At 42.8% G+C, this 23,930-nt stretch overlaps 1 protein-coding gene across 6 annotated transcripts in view; it reads right to left on the bottom strand.

Annotated features, from left to right (window-relative positions):
* The window catches only part of CDH13 (cadherin 13), a 1,173,672-nt gene that overhangs the window by 299,094 nt on the left and 850,648 nt on the right, over positions 1-23,930 (bottom strand). For all 6 annotated transcript variants that reach the window (NM_001220488.2, NM_001257.5, NM_001220489.2 and 3 more), the window contains one exon: positions 14,892-15,070. In NM_001220488.2, coding sequence (NP_001207417.1) covers positions 14,892-15,070 — 179 coding nt within the window. The remainder of the gene's footprint in view (positions 1-14,891; positions 15,071-23,930) is intronic.

Below are 23,930 nucleotides of genomic sequence, written 5' to 3'. Positions count from 1 at the left end.
CATGGTGGCTGTCCAATGCTGAGCACAACATAAACTGTCTCACACCTATTAGATATTCTAACATGCAGAGGAAATAAGAATGGAGAATCTCTTGACTCTTGCTTATTCCAGAATGCTAGAGCCCAAGGAGACAGAAAACCTGAATTTAGGACTCTGAGAGTCTTTCATGGAGAAAAATCAGCCCACACAACAATTTAGAAGACACGGGAGAGAAAATACCTAAAAGAATTTAATTTTGGTTCCCAGTTTTAAGGCCCATAAGCAGAAATGCCATTCACTGAATTTCAATGGTCATTTCTATAGCTGTTCTTCACAAAGGTAGAAATAAATTCATTTCCCATGGCTGTCTTAGAAACATATAACCACAAAATGTCTATTAAGTTGCCTGTTGGAATTTGTGGAAGCAAAGATAAACAGCTGGTCAGTGTGTCTGTGATGATCACGTTTAGCCAGGAAAGCCATTGCTATGTCTCTGTTACTTAAAGAAATAAGAATGCTTATTATTTCAAGTGGGAATGTTTTGACAAGACTTACCTTAATACACCTTTGAAAACATTTGGAATGCTTCCCCTGCAATCTTAAAAACATTAACGGAGGCCATGATTCCTGGCACAACTCCCTCTGTTTGGTCAACAAATAAACTGGCTCATATAGAAACCAGTCTCTAGGCCGGTTGTGGTGGCTTATGCCTGCAATCCCAATACTTTGGGAGGCCGAGGCGGGTGGATCGCCTGAGGTCAGGAGTTTGAGACCAGCCTGGCCAACATGGTGAAACCCCGTCTCCACAAAAATAAAACAAAAATTAGCCGGGCAAGATGGTGGGTGCCTTTCCTGTAATCCCAGCTACTCAGGAGGCTGAGGTGCGAGAATTGCTTGAATCCAGGAGTCTGAGGTTGTGGTAAGCCAAGATCGTGCCATTGCACTCCAGCCTGGGTGACAGAGTGAGACGCCATCTCAAAAAAAAAAAGAGGAGGAGGGAGGAGGAGGGAGAGGGAGGAGGAGGGAGAGGGAGGAGGAGGGGGAGGAGGAGGGAGGAGGAGGGGGAGGGGGAGGAGGAGGGAGGAAGGGGAGAAGGAGGGGGAGGAGGAGGCGGAGGAGGGGGAGAAGGAGGGGGAGGAGGAGGGGGAGGAGAAGAGGAGGGGGAGGAGAAGAGGAAGAAGAAGAAGAAGAAAGAAGAAGGAAGAAGGAAGAAGGAGGAGGAGGAGGAGGAGGAGGAGGAGGAGGAGGAGAAGGAGAAGGAGAAGGAGAAGGAGAAGAAGAAGAAGAAGAAGAAGAAGAAGAAGAAGAAGAAGAAGAAGAAGAAGAAGAAGAAGGAGAAGAAAGAAACTAGTGTCTGAATTCAAATGTGATAGTGTTGCTTGACCCATCATGGTGTTATATCCTAACCTTTCTCTTGCCTTACGACCACTGATACAACTGCTTTTTAAAATGATTAACAGAATTGGGCCGGGTGCAGTGGCTCACACCTGTAATCCCAGGGCTTTGGGAGGCCGAGGTGGGCGGATCGCCTGAAGTCATGAGTTCAAGACCAGCCTGGCCAACATGGTGAAACCCCATCTCTACTAAAAATACAAAAATTAGCTGCGCGTGGTGGCAGGCGCCTGTAATCCCAGCTACTTGGGAGGCTGAAGCAGAAGAATTGCTTGAACCCGGGAGGTGGAGATTGCAGTGAGCTGAGATCGTGCCATTGCACTACAGCTTGAGCAATAATAGCGAGACTTCGTCTCAAAAAAAAAGATTAACAGAATTGGTTTTCTAAATTACAAAAATAACATGTGGCCACTGCACCCAAACTAGAAAATACAGATAACAGCAATAGCTCATGCTCAGCTATTACCCTCCTAAGCATGTGCTGTATTAATTCATTTGCTCTTCATGACAGCCCTTTGAGAGAGGCATTACTGTGATTTACAGTTGAAGAAACCAAGGCATAGTTTTAACCAAAAGGGATTTGTTCTCCATATTATGATAAGGGAATTCTCAGGGAGCATTAACAATGATATGAGAGAAGAATGTTTTATGACATGCAAATCATAATTATGGTTACTGGTTGTTCAAGCTAATGATGTTTCTCTAGCACAAGGCTGGTGAAAGGTGAAGTTAAAGTTCAGACTCAAGCAACCCAGATCTGAAGACGGTCATCTCAGACACTGCACTGTGGAAAAGTTAAAATCAACCATAGTCCCAACAGGACCACTCCTAAAACATCACACAAATCCTTTTGTACCTTGGACCAAGATGCTCTACGTGTATAAACAAAGAAGTATCACAGCTTAAGGAGTATTTTGCAAACCACCTGCTGATACATGGTGAACATCTTTCTATATTATTAAACATTTTGCCACATCATTTTACATGATTTAATAGAATACCAGTGTAGGAATATACCATAATTTACTGAACAAACCCCCACTGGTTGGCCATTTCATTTGGTGCTTTAAACAAAGATCCAACAAAAACCCTTGTTGCTGGATCTTTGCACACGTATTTGATCACAAGAAACTTCTGCATCAAAAAACACTAGGGGTACTTTAAAAAGCCATTTGATTCTTATTGACAAAATACTCAACAAATGACCTGTATTGATTTGCATTTCCCCCCAAGGGCAGGAGAGAGTCTGTTCTCCATAGCCTCCTAAAACCGAGCTATAGAAGCCACTGGGCTCAGTAACCTGGAAAAAGCCCACCTGGCCCATATGATAATGCGGCACTGAAGCCTATGGCCTGATGAGAATGAAAGTTCCACCAAAACTTCACTGTATTTTGCTTTTCTGTGTTAAAAAGAAAGTTCAAAATCTATTTATTCTGCAAGCTTACCACACATATAAATATCAATAATATTGATTTGTATAGTGGGAGAAAAAATGCATGGGCTTTGGAGATGGGCTGATAGGGGTTTAAATCTTAGTGACATTGAGGTCTCTATCTCTGTAACCAGGGCACTTTACTGACCTCATTAGATTCCTATCAAAGTCAAATGCCATATAAAGTACGTTTTCTAGGGACTGACACATGGTGATATGTAAGACACATGGTGACACTGTTCTTTCAGTTTCTTTGTTATCACAGCCCCATTCTCAAATTCAGGAATGACAGAAAGGGCAATGAGAGGTGGAAGAAACCTTCAGGAAAATGTCCCAAGCCTGGTCCAGAGTGTCTTTTTGTTTCCAGGTGGCTCTAGAATAATCTCAGTTTTACCTCAGGGACTCCTTTGGAGCCTCTAGAGACAGGGTATGAGCCCAGGTCCTCTGATTCTCCTTATTTCACTCCATGCTGGTGTGAACAAGTCCATCTGGCTCCAAGACTCAGCTCCAGGGAGTGCCCCTCATCTGGGAAATCTTCTGTTCCCATCTCCGTCTCCCCTTGCCCCCTCTCCTCTCACCTATCAGGGCTCTAACATAATGAAAGTAGCCATTCCAAGATGGTTCCCTCCAATATTTAGTCAATGTCTAGATGGCACTTTTTCGTTTACTCTTTTTCTGTTGGACTGCTTTTTAAAAATTACTGTAACCAAATTTTGAGCTAGATTTAATTACCAAGTGTCTGTCTGAGGTTGCCTGTTTCTTAATGGTGGGAGAAATGAACTATGCTGTCAAAATGTGAAATCAGACCCATCACCCATGATTAGTTTCTGTCCCTATAATCAAACTTCAAGGTGATGATTAATAAGTGTGAGTTAATATTTTGAGAGTGGACTTCAGATATAGACATATGATAACATGCTGCAGTCAGTACATAAAACTGCTCCTATCTGAGCATTGTGGCCAATGATCTAATAGACCAGTGCTGGCCAACTATGGCCCGTTGGTCAAATCCAGCCTGCTGTCTATGTTTTGATGACGCATGAGCTTTAAAATGCTTTTTATAATTTTTAATGGTCACTTTTTTTTTTATTAAAGTTTTAGGGTACATGTGCACATTGTGCAGGTTAGTTACATATGTATACATGTGCCATGCTGGTGCGCTGCACCCACCAACTCGTCATCTAGCATTATGTATTTCTCCCAATGCTATCCCTTCCCCCTCCCCCCACCCCACAACAGTCCCCAGAGTGTGATATTCCCCTTCCTGTGTCCATGTGATTTCACTGTTCAGTTCCCACCTATGAGTGAGAATATGCGGTGTTTGGTTTTTTGTTCTTGTGATAGTTTACTGAGAATGATGACTTCCAATTTCATCCATGTCCCTACAAACGACATGAACTCATCCTTTTTTATGGCTGCATAGTATTCCATGGTGTATATGTGCCACATTTTCTTAATCCAGTCTATCATTGTTGGACATTTGGGTTGGTTCCAAGTCTTTGCTATTGTGAATAGTGCCGCAATAAACATACGTGTGCATGTGTCTTTATAGCAGCATGATTTATAGTCCTTTGGGTATATACCCAGTAATGGGATGGCTGGGTCAAATGGTACTTCCAGTTCTAGATCCCTGAGGAAACGCCACACTGACTTCCACAATGGTTGAACTACTTTACAGTCCCACCAACAGTGTAAAAGCGTTCCTATTTCTCCACATCCTCTCCAGCACCTGTTGTTTCCTGACATTTGAATGATCGCCATTCTAACTGGTGTGAGATGGTATCTCATTGTGGTTTTGATTTGCATTTCTCTGATGGCCAGTGATGATGAGCATTTTTTCATGTGTTTTTTGGCTGCATAAACGTCTTCTTTTGAGAAGTGTCTGTTCATGTCCTTCGCCCACTTTTTGATGGGGTTGTTTGTTTTTTTCTTGTAAATTTGTTTGAGTTCATTGTAGATTCTGGATATTAGCCCTTTGTCAGATGAGTATGTTGCGAAAATTTTCCCCATTTTGTAGGTCGCCTGTTCACTCTGATGGTAGTTTCTTTTGCTGTGCAGAAGCTCTTTCGTTTAATTAGATCCCATTTGTCAATTTTGTCTTTTGTTGCCATTGCTTTTGGTGTTTTAGACATGAAGTCCTTGCCCATGCCTATGTCCTGAATGGTAAAGCCTAGGTTTTCTTCTAGGGTTTTTATGGTTTTTAGGTCTAACGTTTAAGTCTTTAATCCATCTTGAATTGATTTTTGTATAAGGTGTAAGGAAGGGATCCAGTTTCAGCTTTCTACATATGGCTAGCCAGTTTTCCCAGCACCATTTATTAAACAGGGAATCCTTTCCCCATTGCTTGTTTTTCTCAGGTTTGTCAAAGATCAGATAGTTGTAGATATGCGGCGTTATTTCTGAGGGCTCTGTTCTGTTCCATTGATCTATATCTCTGTTTTGGTACCAGTACCATGCTGTTTTGGTTACTGTAGCCTTGTAGTATAGTTTGAAGTCAGGTAGTGTGATGCCTCCAGCTTTGTTCTTTTGGCTTAGGATTGACTTGGCGATGCGGGCTCTTTTTTGGTTCCATACTTACTTTAAAGTAGTTTTTTCCAATTCTGTGAAGAAAGTCATTGGTAGCTTGATGGGGATGGCACTGAATCTGTAAATTACCTTGGGCAGTATGGCCATTTTCACGATATTGATTCTTCCTACCCATGAGCATGGAATGTTCTTCCATTTGTTTGTATCCTCTTTTATTTCCTTGAGCAGTGGTTTGTAGTTCTCCTTGAAGAGGTCCTTCACATCCCTTGTCAGTTGGATTCCTAGGCATTTTATTCTCTTTGAAGCAATTGTGAATGGGAGTTCACTCATGATTTGGCTCTCTGTTTGTCTGTTAATGGTTATATAAGTACCTGCATAATGAGGACTAAACTCTGACCTTTTTTCTTCACTTGCCCAAATTCCTATCTAAGACATCTGGGGAATCATGCTCTACAAGCCAAAAAGTCTCAAAAGAGGGCTTTCATTTAACCCTACATAATGTGGCTTACTTTCCAGCCTGACTCTGGCAATAACATCACATGACAGATAAGGAAGGAAATAAAAATATTTTAACCCCAAATATGTTTCTTTGCCCTATCTTGAAATAGTCCTGCAAAGCTGTCTCTTATGGGGGAAAAAAACTATATTTTGTAGAAAATCCCTTTTCCCCTTCTCATGCCTTTTTCTTGATCCAAGAGAGAATTAACTAAGAGTCTGATACCTTTTAAAGTCTGACAAGAAACATTTACCATCTAGTCTCTCTGAAGCCTGCTACCTGGAGGCTTCGTCTACATAGTAAGAACCTCAGTCTCCACAACCCCTTATCTTAAGCTAGACATTTCCTTTCTATTGATTCCAGGTCTTTAAACTCTTTCAACCAATTGCCAAACAAAATATTTGAATCCACCTATAACCTGGAAACACACCCTCCTCCAGTTGTCCTGCCTTTCCAGACCGAACCATTGTACATTTTACAAGTATTGATTAATGGCTTATGTCCCCCTAAAATGTATAAAACTTATTTGTGGCCCGACCACCTTGGGCATATGTTCTCAGGGTCTCCTGAGGGCTGAGTCAGTGGCCATGGTCACTCATATTTGGTTCAGAATGAAGTAATAAATCTCTTCAAATTTTATAGAGTTTGACTCTTTCTGTTGATAATAATATCTTCAAGTTTGCCTGTTGGCCAAGAAAGTCTATACGATTTACTATTTGGCCCTTTAAAAAAAAAGTTTCCTGACCTCCAATGCAATAGATGATCCTATAACTTGAAGTGCCTTTCATTGTTGAATGTGACATCATAGTGCCATATGTCCAATAAGGTTGATCACGGCTTTTAGAACCCCAAAGTGTTCAACTAAATAATACGATCAACAAGCTTTTATCCTATGAAAAGGCACAGCAAATGAGATACCTCTTAAAACAAAAGTGAAAGAAATGTGGATCCCAGGCATTTTGAGATGTCATCATGTCTTGAAATGGTCTATCATTAGTTTGCCTTAATCTAAGTGTTGCAGCTTTTGATTGCCTCTCTGCAAACTGCTTTCCAGTGGAATCATATTGCAGCTGTTCTAACCACCCAGTTCCTGCTCTGGACACTGAGTACATTAAAGGAAGTACAAAACAGTTACTTCCCAAAAACTCTCAACCAACTTTTCTTTCCTTAAATGATGGTCATTCTCCATATGGCAGGAGCAACATTTTTCTTATTTTTCTCTGCTGGTTTGAAATCAGAACTGAACTAGATATTCTTTCCAAATTAGAAGGTACCTCTTTCACTGACAACAGGAATTTAGAGGATTTGGGGTTTAGAACAATGTTATTTAAGTTCAATAACTGGAAAATCTCTTGATGAAGCAAAACCTGCATTAACATAGTAATCATACTTTTTGGCTGATAAAGAAAAATAAACAGCTCTCGAAAAGAACTTTTTCCAAAAATGAAAACATTCTTTAGCTTTTTAGGGTACTTCATATAAAATAAAATGAAGAAATTTAAAATGACAAAAAAGAGAAGTACTCTAAATTCATCATCACTCTGCAAATTATCTTTACCATATAAAATACCAAAAAGAAAAGAAATATCTTAGAGAATTAAACATTTGTTAAATCTAAAAAGATGAATCTTTCTTCATGATAAAGTTAAGTGTCTCTTGATTCAACATGTGCCCAGTAACTACTGATTGTCTGATACTTTAAGAAGCCCAAGAACAGAAGAAAGAAAATACCTACGGACTGAGGTTTATTAATCTATTTAACAAGCTCAGAATTTAGATTCAAGTGGTAGCTCCTCAGCTCTTATCTCCATCAGGCTAGAAATGTCGAGAACCAACTTGTCAGTCTCAACCTGTCTCCAAAACGCCTGAACTTTGCCACTGACGATCTCTCCTTTAGCTTAACTCATTTTCTGTCCAAGTCACAGCTCTGTGAATGCTGTGTTGAACAGAGCTGTGTTTAATGTTTAAATAATGGTGGTTTCCCATTTACAGTAGGATATAGCTATAATCGTTTGAATGACATTAGAAGCCTTTTGCAATCTTGTTCAAACTCCCTGCCCTTTTCTGGTATCTCTCTATACCACAGCCTCATCTCTGGAGTCTTTAAGTAGCATGTGAATATGCCATGCCTTTGTCCATGCCACTCCTTTCCCCACGATGCCCTTCCTTCTGCTTCCGCACTCCAGGTTTCCACACAGCCATCAAGGTTCGGTTTGAACAGCACATCTTTGCATGCGTGTGCTGTCGACATATCTGCTTTACCTCCAATGCAGGCAGCTCAATCTTTGCGTCCTGATATCCAGCACCATGAGTTCAGCAGACATTTGTGGTGCTCAATACTTATTTACTAGCTTTTATTGCTGAATTTTGTAGGCTGGATTAGCTCTGTCTTTCATTCAATTTAAAGAAACTTGCCATAGTCTCTGCCGTGTGGGCAAAGTGTAAATGTACGTCCTGTAGGAGAAACTCCAACTTCTTTCTGCTTCTTCAGTCTCATTGTCAATCATGGAAACATCTAATACCAACTAATATTTACAGAGTGCTTATAGATAAGTATCACGCTAGTACTTGGCACATCTTATTTGAATTTTTTCAATAAGCCAATGAGATTGGGATTGTGATTATTCTCACTGTGGCAGATGAAGAAATCGAGGTTTAGAGAGGTCTCACAACTGACAAACAAACAAAAAACCAAAAACAACAACAACAACAACAAAAAACACAGGTAGTCTATGCCCTTGGCCCATTTCTCTGAAGCCAGGTTTCAACTAAATTGCGGTCATACTAAGAGACTAGCCACGGTCTTAGCTTTAATGGATTGATAGGTCACACTAAGAGGGATGGGGGAAGTGGTTACGGTTACCAGTGGAGTCCTGAGACTCATCAAGGTCTTCTTCTAGAATTTATCCAGAGTGGAGGAGCAAATGAGGCCACAAGATAAAGACCCTGGCCTTCCCCATCTCTAACCCTCCCACCAATCCCCATTGCCATCAGCAGGAGGCCTGCACTCATGGAACTAAATTTCAGACCCCAGGACTTAGCATTCTGCCTTTTGAATGTCCTATTCTACTTTATTTGCTGAAACAACGGAGCAAGTGCAATTAGCATAGGGTGGTTAGCTGTGTTTCATTTGAAAGGATAATGCATTATTTTAAAAATAATAAGGCAATTTATTTACATCTACTTTTTCCATCTCAATTTTCACAGCAGCAAGTGATAAAAAAAATGGGGAAAATTACCCCAACAGAAATATTTATGAGTAAATAGCTCGAAGAAATTGTGAGGATGCTACTATCTGAATCATTCTGGTCCCACCCACCAAAACAAAGCAAGATAATATTCCTGACAGCATGATTGAATTGTGTGTAATTACTGCCAATGTTTTAAACATGATGATAATGAGAAAAGTATTAGCATTAAATCAGAAAGGCCTAAAAACATTTATTTTCCTAAGAGTATGACTACTACCTCTATCTTTCATTGAAGGCACTGGAGGAAATGCTATCCTTTTTTACCATTGTTCTTTTCTGGCAGCTTGATTTGATATCATCATTTTCACAGATGTCTTTAGTATGTTTCTGGAGATGCATGCTACGTGACAATATTTTAACATGGGTCATTTTGACCAAATACATAGTTCTCTTTGGGCTTGCAGCTACACATCCAAATTCGTTGGCTAGATGGCATAGGATGTTCTCCCTAACATTCTTCAGTTTTCTTCTCTGACATATTCAAGGACTCTTGAATATCTCATAGCAAGTAAATGCACATAAATCTAAGACTAAGTCCTTATGTAACACTTACCATGGAAAGAAAGAAAGAAATTCTCTCCATTTTTACATCTGGCCTAAAAATTTGGGCATTATAAAGTTTCAGAAAGTGCGTTACCAGCTGAAAATACAAAACAAATTACATTCACAGCCCTAATATCTTGTATTATATGTACATTTTCACGGGCAGGCTATCACTTTCCCTAGATTATCTGGAAGATAATAGATAATAAGGTAAAGGCAAATTCAAACAAAGACAGAAAAGTGCTCAGCTCAAACCCCTTAAAAAGACTAATGATACTTTCTCAATGCAAATGTTAAGATTGCTTTTTTATGAGTCTATTTTGGAAACTATTTCCATTAAAAAAGAAAAAAAAAAAAAACCCTGACCATTAGTTACTCTGAGTAGTTGCAAATTGTGGCTGTGTTCAGAAAGCTGGCAGATTCCAGCAGATGAATTTCAGTCTAGCAGCCAAGATGATCAACTAAATAAAACATTTATCAAACGTTAGAGACCTTTATCTGATTTTATTTTGTAGTGCAGCCAGACATAGTTTAAAAACATAGACAGAGATGCCAGAAATGGGGGGCTAAGTATGGCTATAGAAAATAATAAAAAAGTGCCCCAAATGAACCTAATTTCATTTACTGGAATATATGGCTCTTATTTTCCGCAAACATCTCCCCAAACACTTAAGCAAGAGGCACAGATACTCCTGTCCATCCTATTCACCCAGTGGACCAAGACACTATTTCTTAAAGCAGTTCCTGCAGAAGGTAAACATAAAGTGAATAAATTAGATTACCAGATGATTGCACAAGGGTAAGACTAAGCTTTCACCTATAATAAAGTAACTTCCTCTGTTTATATATCCATGCCAGAATGTGGATCCTGCAGAATGTTCTGAGATAATACAAACTTAAGGAACACAGGTCATCCACTCATCCACCCTGATAACCTAACAGATCTTTATCCAGTGCCTATTATTTATCTGGTGCTATATTTGGCAATGGGAATAGAGAGAGAGAACAGAAATCCAAGGTCCCTTTCTTCCAGAAGCGTATATTCTGGTAGGGTTTTCCGAACAAGTAAATGGATGAGCGTGTAATGGAAAACGCACATGTCTTGGGGAAACTTGATATCTATTAATGCGGAGCTTAAGATATGGAAGGGGAAGAAATGGCCAGTTCACCTGCTTTCAAGCCAGTGTGAATCACGCTGTCTTCCTCACTTCCTTCCCGCCTTTCAACTCTCAACAGATATTTCTTTGAGCATCTCTCATGTGCTAGGTACTGGCAATAGGTCATGGGCAAGCCAAACATCATCCCACAAATTGCATGTTTGAGCATTGACTATGGTGAGTGCAAGCAGATAGGCCATAGACTCTTTCAAGAATAGTGGCTGCCAATCCTTGGAGCAGGAGAGGAGCAGATTAGATGAGTGCACCTGCCTCAGATGGCTCCATGTGAGACATCCTGGGAAGGGAGGAGGGTGGGAAGAAGAAAGGATAACAACCAAAGTGACAACATAGTAAGGATCATTTCTACACTGCCCTGTGTGACTATCCTCAGTTACAAGCCTTGTTACAAAGTGAATCTATAAAAGGCAGGGAAGATGATTAGGTAGGCAGATTCACAGAAAATTCCCAGTGCCTGCCACCTCCCCACTCATCTTGCATCATCTGCCTCTCCCTTGGTTAAACACTTCCTGCTGGGGTCCTCCTTGGTAGATGCACTTAAGAAAGGAAATTGACTAAATGGAAAATAAAGATGAAAAATTGTTATTGTGTCAACTTAGCTCGTGTCACCCAATGGGATTCCAGAGTATCCACTCCCAACAAGCCAGGAAACACACGTTTGCTTTGTCCCTCATTCAGGTGAGAGCCAGAGGTGCTGGTGAGCTGTGTGTGTGTGTGTGTGTGTGTGTGTGTGTGTGTGTGTGGTTTCTGCAGCTCCTGCTCTTGAAGGAGTTTGTGACAGAACTGGAATCACTATATTCATTGTTCCAACACGCAATTTGAGATACTGCGAATGAAGACAGGAGACAAGGTAACAAACCTTAAAATCAACTTGAATCATCTCAAAGTCCACAGGGTCCCAAATGGGATACTTTCTTAAATGAATGCTGCAAAAGTCTGTATTAAATGTTTTTTCTGCCCATCTGGCTGAGAAGTAGACTTTAAAACCACACCTAAGACAGGCCTTCTCAGAAGGTCTTCAGAAATAATATTAATAATAAAATCTCACAAACCTGCTGAAGAAAGTATCGCATCCATGTGAATCCTACAAAAAGTGCCAAGTCTCAATGGGAGGAAAACATTGCAAACTCTGGGGAACTCCACTGGACATCTGATGTGCAAGTTTTTTACCCTCAAAGACAAGAACTTGGAATCACGTTCCACCTCCTCAGCAAACATGCTGAAGTGAAGCTTATCACAGCACAAGGAACTAGCCAAAGCTTGCCTAAATTTAGGGACATTTCTTTCCTTTGGATTGCACTGATGTTGCCTGGATCAGCAATGAACTCTGGAAACCCTCACAGAAGAGTGACACTCTTTATTCATTTTCATTGATTTTCCAATTTCGGTTAAATTGAGTTGATCTTTTTTGGGGGGCTGTTGATGTTTTGTGACTAGAAATGCTTAATTCAACTTCCATAATTACATACTTATTACAACTTAATGAAAGCCCAAATGAAAAGATCATGAGCTGGAAACACATTTGTCCCCTAAAATAAACTTTAAAAATGGGATAATTTACTACATTATCACTTTGATTTATAAATAGAGACTTATAAAATATTTTCTCTCAGAACAAAGAGAAGCTGAAACGGAGAAATCACCATGCTTCATCTTTTTCTTGTGAAAGGATCTTGTGAGAAGCTTTGGGAGCATTAAGGACTATAGAAAAGCTGGCATGTGTGTGTGCACCTGCACACACGTGTCAAGTGGGGAATAGAGAGCCTTGGGAAGTCATCACTGGCCTCCAAAAGAAGAAAATATGTCAGTCATAAAAATAGGGAGCATTGGCCGGGCGCAGTGGCTCATCCCTGTAATCCCAGCACACTGGGAGGCCGAGGTGGGCAGATCACCTAAGGTCAGGAGTTTGGGACAAGCCTGACCAATATAGTGAAACCCCATCTCTACTAAAAATATAAAAATTAGCCAGGTGTGGTGGCAGGCGCCTGTATTCCCAGCTACTCAGGAGGCTGAGACAGGAGAATTGCTTCAACCTGGGAAGTGGAGGTTGCAGTGAGCTGAGATCGTGCCACTGCACTCCAACCTGGGTGACAGAGCAAGACTCTGTCTCATAAAATAAAATAAAAAAAATAAAAAAATAAAAAAATAGGGAGGGTTGGAAAGAGAATGGGAGATGAAATGAATATAATGGACTCATTACTTTTTCTACTTCCCTATTCTTTAACTAGAAACGATTACATTTTCCAAAGGACAATCAGAGTTTCAATGCAAATTTCTCTGTCTCTCCCTTTCAATAATTACCTATTTCTAGCTTCTGTTTCTCACAGCTTATGTAAGATCTTAGTTTTATTTCCAACTCTTTTTCCTTTTTTTCCCTCTATGCCAACAAACATATAATTAGGATTTTTAGAAGTACTTCAACCATGCTAGGCAGTAGAAATATAAACATGCATATGACCACAGTCTCTGTTGTCAGGAAACATACAGTCTAGGCCATTGTTGCCCAGTAGAACCTTCTGGGGTGATGGAAGTGTTCTAGGTCTGCACTGTCCGGTACAATAGCCACCAACCACATATGACTGCTGAGCACTTGAGATGTGTCTGTGACTGTGAAGCTGATTTTTACATCTTGATTTCAATTAATATACTTTAAAATTGCAATAACCCCATGTGACTAGTGGTTACTCTACTGGACAATTCAGGTCTAGACCAAGAGAAAGAGAATCTTCTTCAGAGACAAATGACAACCTAATTAGCACATGCCAACTGCTATATGATGGCTACAGGCAAGAGTAGTCAGAGATGGGAGGAAGAACAAGACTGTGGAAGAATCAGGTGGATGAGGACAGCTTCTTAGAAGGGGTTGATGTAATCCAGAATCTCTTGAGAAACTATAGCACATAAGAGAGGAGAAAGCAGAGGAAACAACACTCCGAACCATGGATTTATTTCATCAAAAACACTGAGGGGGAAATGCACAGAGCCCCCGAGGGAAGCCCAGCAGTTACGTGGAGCTGATGGTTCTTACAGAAGGTCAAGGACAACTCCAAGGCCCCACGCCTGTGGGATGATGTCAGGAGCAGGGAATTCCAGAATGGTAGCAGGTTTAGGGTGGATGGAGAGTGAAGGATGGGTAGGAATCCACGAGTTGGTTTAAGGATGCTGTGTTTGGAGGTCCGCGAGGGTCTTCTACTTAAAGTAGCTTATGGTAAGCTACACGGTGGACCTCAAACTCAGGAAAGGGCAGGACCAGAGGGGCCCATGCACGTGGAAACGTAATCGAGGTGGGAGCACATGTCCCATCTAAAGGGGACAGCAGACCCTGGATCCACTGGAGCATCACACCTCACACCACCGATAGTGCACATGTGGAAAGTGGACCTGATGTCTCCAGGATTTCTGATGTCCAGAAAAACTGGAAATTGGCATTTTTAAAACAGAAACGTGAAATCTAAATATTTTGATATGACAACTAATTCTAAAAGCTGTAAAACACTGCAGGCAAAACGAAAGAGCAGGCATGTGGACTGACTGGGCCAGGGGTCACCTGTTTGTGACATGTGACCCAGGAGACGGGGGAGATTTCACGGAGAAAGCCTAAAGGGATGAGAACAGAGATGGAGGAAGAGAGGGGTTCAAGGGGGAATGCAGGATGCCTGCAGCAAAGGGTTGGAGAAAGGAGTCATGGGCATTTGACTCTGCAACAAGGACAGCCTGTGTGATCTTGGATGAAGCCACCTCTCCTCCCTTCCCCTCCTTCCCTTGTCCTTCCCTCTCCCTTCTAGCATTAAAGCAGGGGCCAGAGGCAGAGTCTAGAATCACCAGGGCCTAGAGAATAAGTGGCTGTTGAGGAAATAGGCATCAGGTTGAGTGAATACAAACAGTTCCAGGCGCTTTAGCCTTTTAGAGCACGTGTTTTCTTGGGTCACATAATATCCCATTTCCCTTTATAGATTTTCCCCACCAAAACATGGTAAACACCTCATTTCTGCCTTTACAGTATTAAAAAAAACCACTGACTGGAGCCCCACATCATCCCTTGCATGAAAGCCACATTCTATTCTCGTGAAAAAGAAAGTGTATTCTTTTCAGCTCACCTCTCGGTCCAGCAGCGCAGGTGACACAACAGTGACAATGTCTCCTTTCTCAGGATCGATGTAGAACATGTTGGGAGATGGCTTGTCAGGCGTCTGCTGACGGATATTATACCGCAGGAGGGCATTATCGGTGGCTGGGTCATCTGCATCAAAGGCTGTCATCCGCATCACTGTGGTGCCTACCGGGGCAAGACAGAAAGGCACGGAATGGTTATCAATGGGTCAACAACGGCCAGAGCCCCTTCCCCACCTGGGCAATAGCAGTGCAGCAGTGTGCCCATCACTTTCCAAATTAAAAAAGAAAAGTATTTCCCAAGCTTTGCTATGTTTCAGCTTTTCTTCCTCCTTTCCCTCTCTGTTTCATTCCATGAAAAGACCTGAAATAAAGAAGAAAACATCTTTGCTGTTCAGCAGAGTGACTGCTTAATTTTTCCCTCTGGTGATACACTGTTTATTTTCAGGGGCTTTCATTCCACTGTGGATGTGGCTTTGTGACAGGGACATTCATTTTTTTAGACAGAGTCTCGCTCTGTCACCCAAGCCGGAGTGCAGCGGCGTGATCTTGGCTTACTGCAACCTCCGCCTCCCAGGTTCAAGTGATTCTCCTGCCTCAGCCTCCTAAGTAGCTGGGATTACAGTTGTGTGTCATCACGCCCAGTTAATATTTGTATTTTTGGTATAAATGGGGTTTAACCATTTTAGCCAGGCTTGTCTTGAACTCCTGACCTCAGCTGATCCACCTGCCTCGGCCTCCAAGGGTGCTGGGATTACAAGATTCCATCTAGCCATGGCCTTCATTTTTAAAGCTCTGATTCAATGCCAACTCCATGTGCCTGGGCTGCGTGTTGGGGAAACAGGAGTACAAAGAGGCATGCTCCTGGGTGTGCAGGAGCTCAGAAATCAGTAGAAGAGATAAATATATAACAAACAATAAGACTTATCAGGCACACTGAGAGAGGGCATTATGAATACAGAGATGAACAACCTTATCTAGTCTGGGGTTTGCACAAAGGTGTCTGATGAGGACCCGTAAGAAGAGAGTAGGCAGGAACAAGTCAAAGGGACCTCAGAGCAAAAAGGCATTCCAGTTAAAGGGAATGAGAGCAAACACTAATGTGTACCTACTATGTAGCAGCCGTGTTATTTTAGGGACTTCCAATATAAAATGAGGGTAACATGGTTGGGTTCACTCACAAACAAGCAAGAGTCATACAAATAGGACCTGATTCTATAACAAGCATGTGGAGTGTTGGATTATGTCAATGATTGATAAGGGTGTCAGATAATGGGTCTCCCTCCCATGCAGCTGATATAAAGGGAAACTGGTATATCCATTGTCAAGGACCATTGGGCAGCAAAGAGTAAAAACAATGCCTTCGCCTCCTTGGCATCTACTTTCAGAAACAACTGCACGTGTCCGCAAGGGATCTGTGCAAATAAATTTCTAGCTGAATTATCTGTCAAGGTGAAAAATTTGGAAACAGCCTAGCTGTTCATCAACAGGGGAATTGCCAAAATGATAGTATTCTCACACTGAGATATTTTGCAGCAGCTTAAAAAGACTGTAGATCTAATGGGTTCTAATGTGGGAAACTCTTCAAGATATATTAATTAGTAAAAATGTTAGGTTGAGGAATGTTTGGGGTTCAGCACCAGAAGAGAACATTCCTGGCCCATGCAGCCCCCTTGCCTTTGGATGGCAGCAGGAACAACATGGTTCTGTTTCCCATTGACCTTGTCATGGAATCAGCGTTCTCAAACAGTGGTCTAGGTAGCAACTTGAAGTATACAGAAACTGATGTGAAATGTGGCACGTTTTAACTTTCCTTACCCACAGGGGGATAGTGATACCATTTTTGTGAACATGCTTACACACAGAACATGCCACAATACTTTATTCACATGTTTTACAGGTACAGTTTATAAGTGCATAGAACAACTCTATAAGGAGAACTTCTCCCTGGTAATGGTGGTTAAATCTGGAGAAGAAGAGAGGGGATTGGGATTTGGCATGGTCATCGGGAAAGATGTTGGCCTCATCTATAACATTTTGTTTATTTTTACAAGGTGAATGTATTGCTTTGGCAATTAAAATTTAATTTACAAAGAGCATAATTATAAGCACCAACAAAAACATGCCTGCTGGTTTTGATGATTGACAATAGCAATTGTATTGCTACCACATTTGGATTAGGGCATCCTGCCTAACCATAACTTTTTATCCCAATATAGTCTTCTACAAATATAAGGCCCATCTTCTGATTTTGAATCTGTCTGGACTCACAAAGTGTGACCTAACCGGAAGAGATCAAAGCCGCAGATGTCTATTCAACAAAGCAGCAGGAATAGTCATACAAAGAAAACACTGAAGCCTAAAGGAAAGATAGAATTCATCTGGTTTTACCACCACCCAGAATTCCTTTTCCTTCCATAGCAATGCTTCTCTAATCATCAAAGCCAGTTTTTTTTCCCCCACCACTGGAATCAGAGTATCAGTCATTAGGCCTGATTGATCAGATAAACAACGAAGATCTGGCCACCCTCAAGGTTGGATTGATTTGTTAGGCAGTCTCAGCTATTTTCACCAATGGTGCCATCCGGCCACATGCTTCAAGGTGCACTTCCTATCCACCTAGCTTCTTTGCCCTGTGAGATGGTCTCAGGGCAAGCTTCAAGGTTCAGCTTCAGAAAAGAACATTCTTGGCCCATGCAGCCCCCCTGTCTCTGGAAGACAGCAGGAACAGCATGACTCTGTCTCCCATTGACATGCTACAGAATTAGTGTTATCCAACAGTGGTCTAGGCAGCCACTCACAGTCTATGGAAACTGATGTGAAATGTGACACATATTAAACTTCCTGATCTAGGCAAACTTAAGGATATCCCCATCAGAAATCAGAGGCAGATTTCAGGCCTGCGATCTTACCCAGGGACATGCTAAAGGGAGCTCCATGTGGCCAAAGACATAGGAGGAGGCCTTAACCCCATCAATTCCACACCAGTCTCCAGTTAAGTACACTTGACCCAGGGCCTTGCACTTAGTTAATGTCTAATGAATGCTCGATTGATTGGATTTGTGCCCTATTTAATCTGCCTTTAATTGAAGTCATGGAAGGTATAAAAATGAAGTCATCATGGCTTGCAACTGACATATGCATTAAAATGATTAGAGGAAGAAAAAAAAAAAAAAGACCTTTCAGGTTGATGAGTCTTTAGTTTTCATCAGGAAATTCACTGAGGATATCTTTTTGTTTACAGGTTGGATAACATGATGTAACACAAAATTATCCTGGAATATTCCCAAGCATACACAGAAAATGGTTTTTATTTTAATGGATTGTTAGGGAACAGGTGAACTCGGTCTTAAGCCCCGTGTTTGTCTTCACCCAGACACGAATGCATCACTGGATTTACTCTGGAGGAAATCGCGCCTCTGAGGGAACCGCATTGTGCCTGAGTTATGTAAATAGGTTTGCAGCATTGAAGACAACGACTCTGAGGTGACGTATCTGGGTTCAAGTCTTTTCAAGCTGCGTGACCGTGGCCACATTATTCATCTCTCTCTGAGCCTCGGTTTCCCTGTTTTCAACATTCCCCTTTGGTTGTTGTGAGGATTTCATGGGATGACCTATTTTCAGAACTTGGTACAGTGCCTAGTACATTAGTGTTCAGAGAGGAAGCCTTGCATTATCCAACTCTGTCCTGGGTTCTGAGCCAATTATGGCAGTGCAGGCAAAGGCCTCAGATACAGGAGACTAGGATTAAGTTGTCCAAAGAATGTGGGACAAAGGGTCGCAGGACAGCCCTCTCTCTCACCGGGTCCCTTCTCCCACCCTGCCCATGGTCTTAGTGTGCAGATCTGGGTTTCTACTGTGGATATCACAACAACACACACACACGTGCACACACACATTCTGTAGTCTACACCATGTCTCCACGTGGTCCTCTAGTCGGCCTCTAAGACCAGGCTTTACTTTGAACCCCAACCTATCTGCTGAGTGCAATGCTTGGCTCTTGCCAGTACCTTCCCCTGGAGGCTGGATCATGGTTTCCTTACTTCTGTGTTCTGCAAAGGCTGGATAAACCTCCTAAACCAGCATTCTCTAAATTGGTTCCGAGGAACTCTGGCTCCATAGATTCAGTCGAGAAACAGATTTGGGAAATACGTGGCAAACACCGCAAAGCAAGGTTTCCCCAGAGGACTCTTCAGTGCCTCTATTAAGCACGCTTACAGCATCAATCTCCAAGAGAGGGTGTCTCTCTGCAGCACTCACCAAACTTTGCTGTTGATGGAACCTCTTTATTTCAGAACTGTCTATCTTTTTGTGATGGGCCACATGGTCCTAGATGTGAGCTCTTGGAGGGTATAGACTGTTGTGTTCATTTTGTAAGCCCAGTGTCTGACACGCGGTAGGTCCTCATCAGTGTTCTTTGGGTTGAATTGGCTTCTTGCCATTCACTGTAGTGTTGCCTCATTCCACACTGACCAGAGCCACCAGTACCTTGTCTTCCAAGAAGAATGAACAACTGAGCAACGTGCCTGGAGATTTTCCACGACTGCCTCTGAGCTCCCTGTTCAATGCGCCTTGGAGGTCCTTGCTGGAATGGGATTCCTGGGTCACATACCAATGCTATGCCCAGGGCTGACATGCAGCAGGTGGGCCTCAGTGCACCTGCTCCAATTGCCTGTGGGTGATGCCTGTGCCTCTCCTCTTATGCAGTCCCACACACTGGACTCCATGTCCACCACTTTGTTTTCACCAGCTCATGCAGCTTCCTATCCGGGCTTGTCTTGTGTTTCCAGACAGCAGAGAAAGGGTAATTATATGACAGACACGCATTGGGGCTTCCACACAGTACATTTCTGTCTTTTCCCCCGTCACAATACTCTCCTGAGTGACAAAATAAATTATAATCACCCTGTCACTCCCTGAGCCAGATGAACTAGCAGCAGCTCCTCCAAAGGGGGAAGAAAACATCCCAGGTTCCTGGTTGAAAGTCTCAAGTTGGGCCGTCATTTTCTTTTGCCGAAGGACACGGCCGCCAGCCTGACAGGCTGATTAACAAGTGTGATCGCTTCCTTGTGGCCAGGTAGCCCCTTCCTCCTGACTGCAGCTCTCTCATTAAAGCAAGTGCCGCCTGGTTTCTTGACCTTGAAAGCCAGCTTTGAAGTTTTGCTTTCCTGTGACTTCAAGCACGGCCAACCCCTTGAGAAAGGAGAGCGCAGATCTGAGAGTGACGGGGGGTTTTCAGCTGGCCATGAGGATGGGGATGCTCCAAAAGACAGTGACAAAATTATGCTGTTCTTAACATTTCTTTGACTCCATCCCTAAACATTTCCTTTGCCTGATCAAAAAGTGTCAGGCTCATTTTTTACAAAATGCTATTCCTATAAGCGAATCACGTATTGAGACATAGACATTCAGATCTATATTCAGCACTGGATTTCTGATAGCACAGTTAGGGCAACAGTGTGCTTTCCAGGGAGAAGTGTGATGTTAAAGCAAACATGAGCAGAGATGGCAGATGTCACCAGGTGAACCTCTTTGATGTGACAAAATGGCACATCGTTGTCAAGCATCAAACTCACCAGAGGAGGCAGTGAGTTCTAATTCCAATCAAACCATGCTTTCTGTGACCGAATGATCTAATAGTGGTGCTTCAAAAGGAGAATGTGGTCATGGATCCTGTAGTGCACAACGTTACTTGTGTGTTTGCCCCTGTGTCAGAAGACAAGCCTTAGACCAGCAGCAGCTTAGGGTGCTTAGCCAGGTGAGACAGATGTAGAAGCTGCTATTTTAAATTCTAGCATTTTGGGGAATATCTAGTTGGAACGATTCTCATTGGAAACTAAATTTCCATTGAAGATTCTTTAGTTTGAATGGGTTTGGGGCCTCCTGGTTCCAAATGAGAACCAGATAGTTCTCCCAGGACTGAGGGGATTCCAGGACACTCCTGGGCAAACCAGAATGAGGTGGTCACCCTGCAGGCCAAGTTTTGCTTTCAGGTGTAGACACGTCTCTTCGTCATGAGCAGCAGACTGCCAATGTGAGAATTGTTGCAAATGTGACTGTAGTGCCTGGGACACAGCCTACAGCCATTCACTCAACTGGCCACCCCAAACACACCAATCTAAAATTGTTTCCTGACCAAGCAGGTGGACATGAGCCAGTTCTCTCCTAACCGTCCTCAGTAACAAAGAAAGAGACCCTGGTGTGCAAAACCAAAGCAGAATCAAGCCAGTGGCCCGGCTGAGGACCTGGGCTATCTATTTTTAAAACCTGGCCTCACCTGCTGGGCTTCTCTGGGCAGTTAAGCCCCAAATTTTATTGTTGTTGTTTGAGACAGGGTCTCCCTCTGTCACCTAGGTTGGAGCGCAGTGGTATGATCACAGCTCACTGCAGCCTTGACCTCCCAGGCTCAAGTGATCCTCCCACCTCAGCCTCCCAATTAGCTGGGACTATAGGTGCGCACCACTATGCCTGGCTAATTTTTGTAGAGATGGGGTTTTGTCATGTTGCCTGGGCTGGTCTTGAACCCCTGGAGTCAAGCGATCTGCCCACGTTGTCCTCCCAAAGTGCTGGGATTACAGATGTGAGCCATCACGCCCCACCTCAACTTTTCATTGACAAAATGGCTCTTCTCTCATGGGTTGTTGGAGGCATTGAGTGAATCAATGCTCTCTGAGCCTCTTGTGTTTCCATTAACACCTTCCCCCAAGAATATTTTCAGACATTTATTCGACTTGACACCCTCTCACTCCATCACAAAACGTTAATTCTATAGAATACCGTGTATCTATTTATGTGCTATGGCCCCTTGCAGGGCACAAGCCATTGTAATATCTAATACATCTGATGTGATAAACCCCTCTCTCCTAATGACCAACTTTCTCTTGCTTAGAAGTAATATTACCCCCTTTGAGAATGCACAAATTAATCTATATAAAGTCCAATGCCAGGATGATGGTAAGTAATGGAGAAATGTAAGTTTTTTTTTGGAGACGGAGTCTCACTCAGTCCACCAGGCTGGAGTGCAGTGGTGCAATCTTGGCTCACTGCAAGCTCCGCCTCCCGGGTTCATGCCATTCTCCTGCCTCAGCCTCCTGAGTAGCTGGGACTACAGGTGTCTGCCACTACGCCCGGCTAATTTTTTTGTATTTTTAGTAGAGATGGGGTTTCACCATGTTAGCCAGGATGGTCTCGATCTCCTGAACTCGTGATCTGCCCGTCAAAGTGCTGGGATTACAGGTGTGAACCACCGCGCCCAGCTGAGAAATGTAAGTTTGTTATTTTCATTGACTCTCACAATTTAGAACTCAGTTCTGTGAGGACCCACTGCTGAGTGCAATCATGACGAGGGAAATAGCTTGTGGGACCCAACCACTTAGGGTTTAAGACACACTGCTTCTAGGACTCACTCTCAGGATCTACAGAAACAGGAGTTACTTAAAATCTTGTTAGGAAACAATTCCTTTCTTCCCTTAGACAAGCCTAGATACTTCTGTTGAGTGCACATATGCATGCATCCGCTTCCTCTGGTCTTGTGGACATTCTTGAGTAGACAGCAATTGATAGGGAAACTGTCGAATGACTAGTTGATGAAAGATAACCAACCAACCTGATAGGGATCCAGAGGCAGCCCACGTTTGGCAGGGCATGTGTTCCTGGAAAGCTACCCATGTGATGAATTGTAAATAATGTCTCATTTTCCCACTGGCTTACATTTGGACTGGCTTTATTTTCATTTGAGGGGATGTCCAATTGGAGGCCACTGCTCATCATTCAGCTTTTTCTTTTTTTCTTTTTTTTTTTTTTTTTCTCATCTTCAAAAGACTCTACTGGCCAGCCAGGTGGGAGGTTGGTTCTCAGTTCTGGGTGTGAAGACTGTTAAAGAAATCCCTGCCCCTGTACTCTGAGGGTAGGAGGATGGAACTGCAGAGTGGCAGAGAAAAGAGGTGATTCCAGCCCAATTTTGGGGAAAAGAGAAGAAGGAAGCAGGCTTAGGCCTAAGGCAAGGTCTGGGAGATTTGGCTTTGTAACCCTTGCTCCTTTGGCGGCCCTTCCCTGGGTTGCCCAGTTATCCAGGGGTTGTTATTCACCAGCACAAGGACCCCTCCCACATTTTCATATGGTGGTCCAGCTGTGCATTTGATCCAGAAAGTGCTTGATAATGTGAGTTTTGATGAAGATGCTAATGACCTTTGGTCAGTCCTCTAACAGGAGCCTAGTTCCACTGGCCTCAAAGGTGGGACTCTCTGTGGTCAGACTGGGAGCTGGGCCAGGAGTGAGAAGCTCACCTACTCACCCAGTGCCCATACAGGTAGCTTCACATGAGTAAAGCGCTCTCAAGGCAACCGGGAGAGGTGGGGTTGGTGGCAAACTGGAGCGTGTGCCTCCTGCCTCAGGCGGCAGCTGCCTTTTAGCTCAAAGGAATTACTGCATGTCTGAAATACAAGTCTGGACTAGCCAGATCTTTTGATGTTTTTTTTTTTTTTGAGACGGAGTCTTGCTCTGTTGCCCAGGCTGGAGTGCAGTGGCGTGATCTCGGCTCACTGCAAGCTCCGCCTCTTGGGTTCATGCCATTCTTCTGCCTCAAGCAGCTGGGACCACCAAGCCTGGCTAATTTTTTATATTTTTAGTAGAGATGAGGTTTCACCATGTTAGTCAGGATGGTCTCGATCTCCTGACCTCGTGATCCACCCGACTCGGCCTCCCAAAGTGCTGGGATTACAGGTATGAGCCACCGCGTCCAGCCATCTTTTGATTTTTTAAGAAAAGGTGGGAATTTGGATTTTTAGACACTAGTTCAAATTTAAAAAATAAAAGATCACTCAGTGGGACTAGAAGGCCAAACAAAAGAGGTTATGGCAAGCTTCGGTCTGAGGCCCACCAGCTTTTGACCTTGTCTGTTGGTAGAGCCATTCTTTCCCCCAAAGGCACGAATTAGATGTTGTTGATGAGTACTCCAGATTACAACTTTAAAAAGTGGTACATCCATGGGAAACATTTTGCCCTTCCTCCTCCCACCTCCCTGTTTG

The sequence above is a fragment of the Homo sapiens genome, chromosome 16, assembly GCF_000001405.40.
Source record: "Homo sapiens chromosome 16, GRCh38.p14 Primary Assembly".
Taxonomy (NCBI): Eukaryota; Metazoa; Chordata; class Mammalia; order Primates; family Hominidae; genus Homo; species Homo sapiens.
Note: the sequence above shows the minus strand (reverse complement) of the source record. Positions and strands in the feature narration are given on the sequence as shown.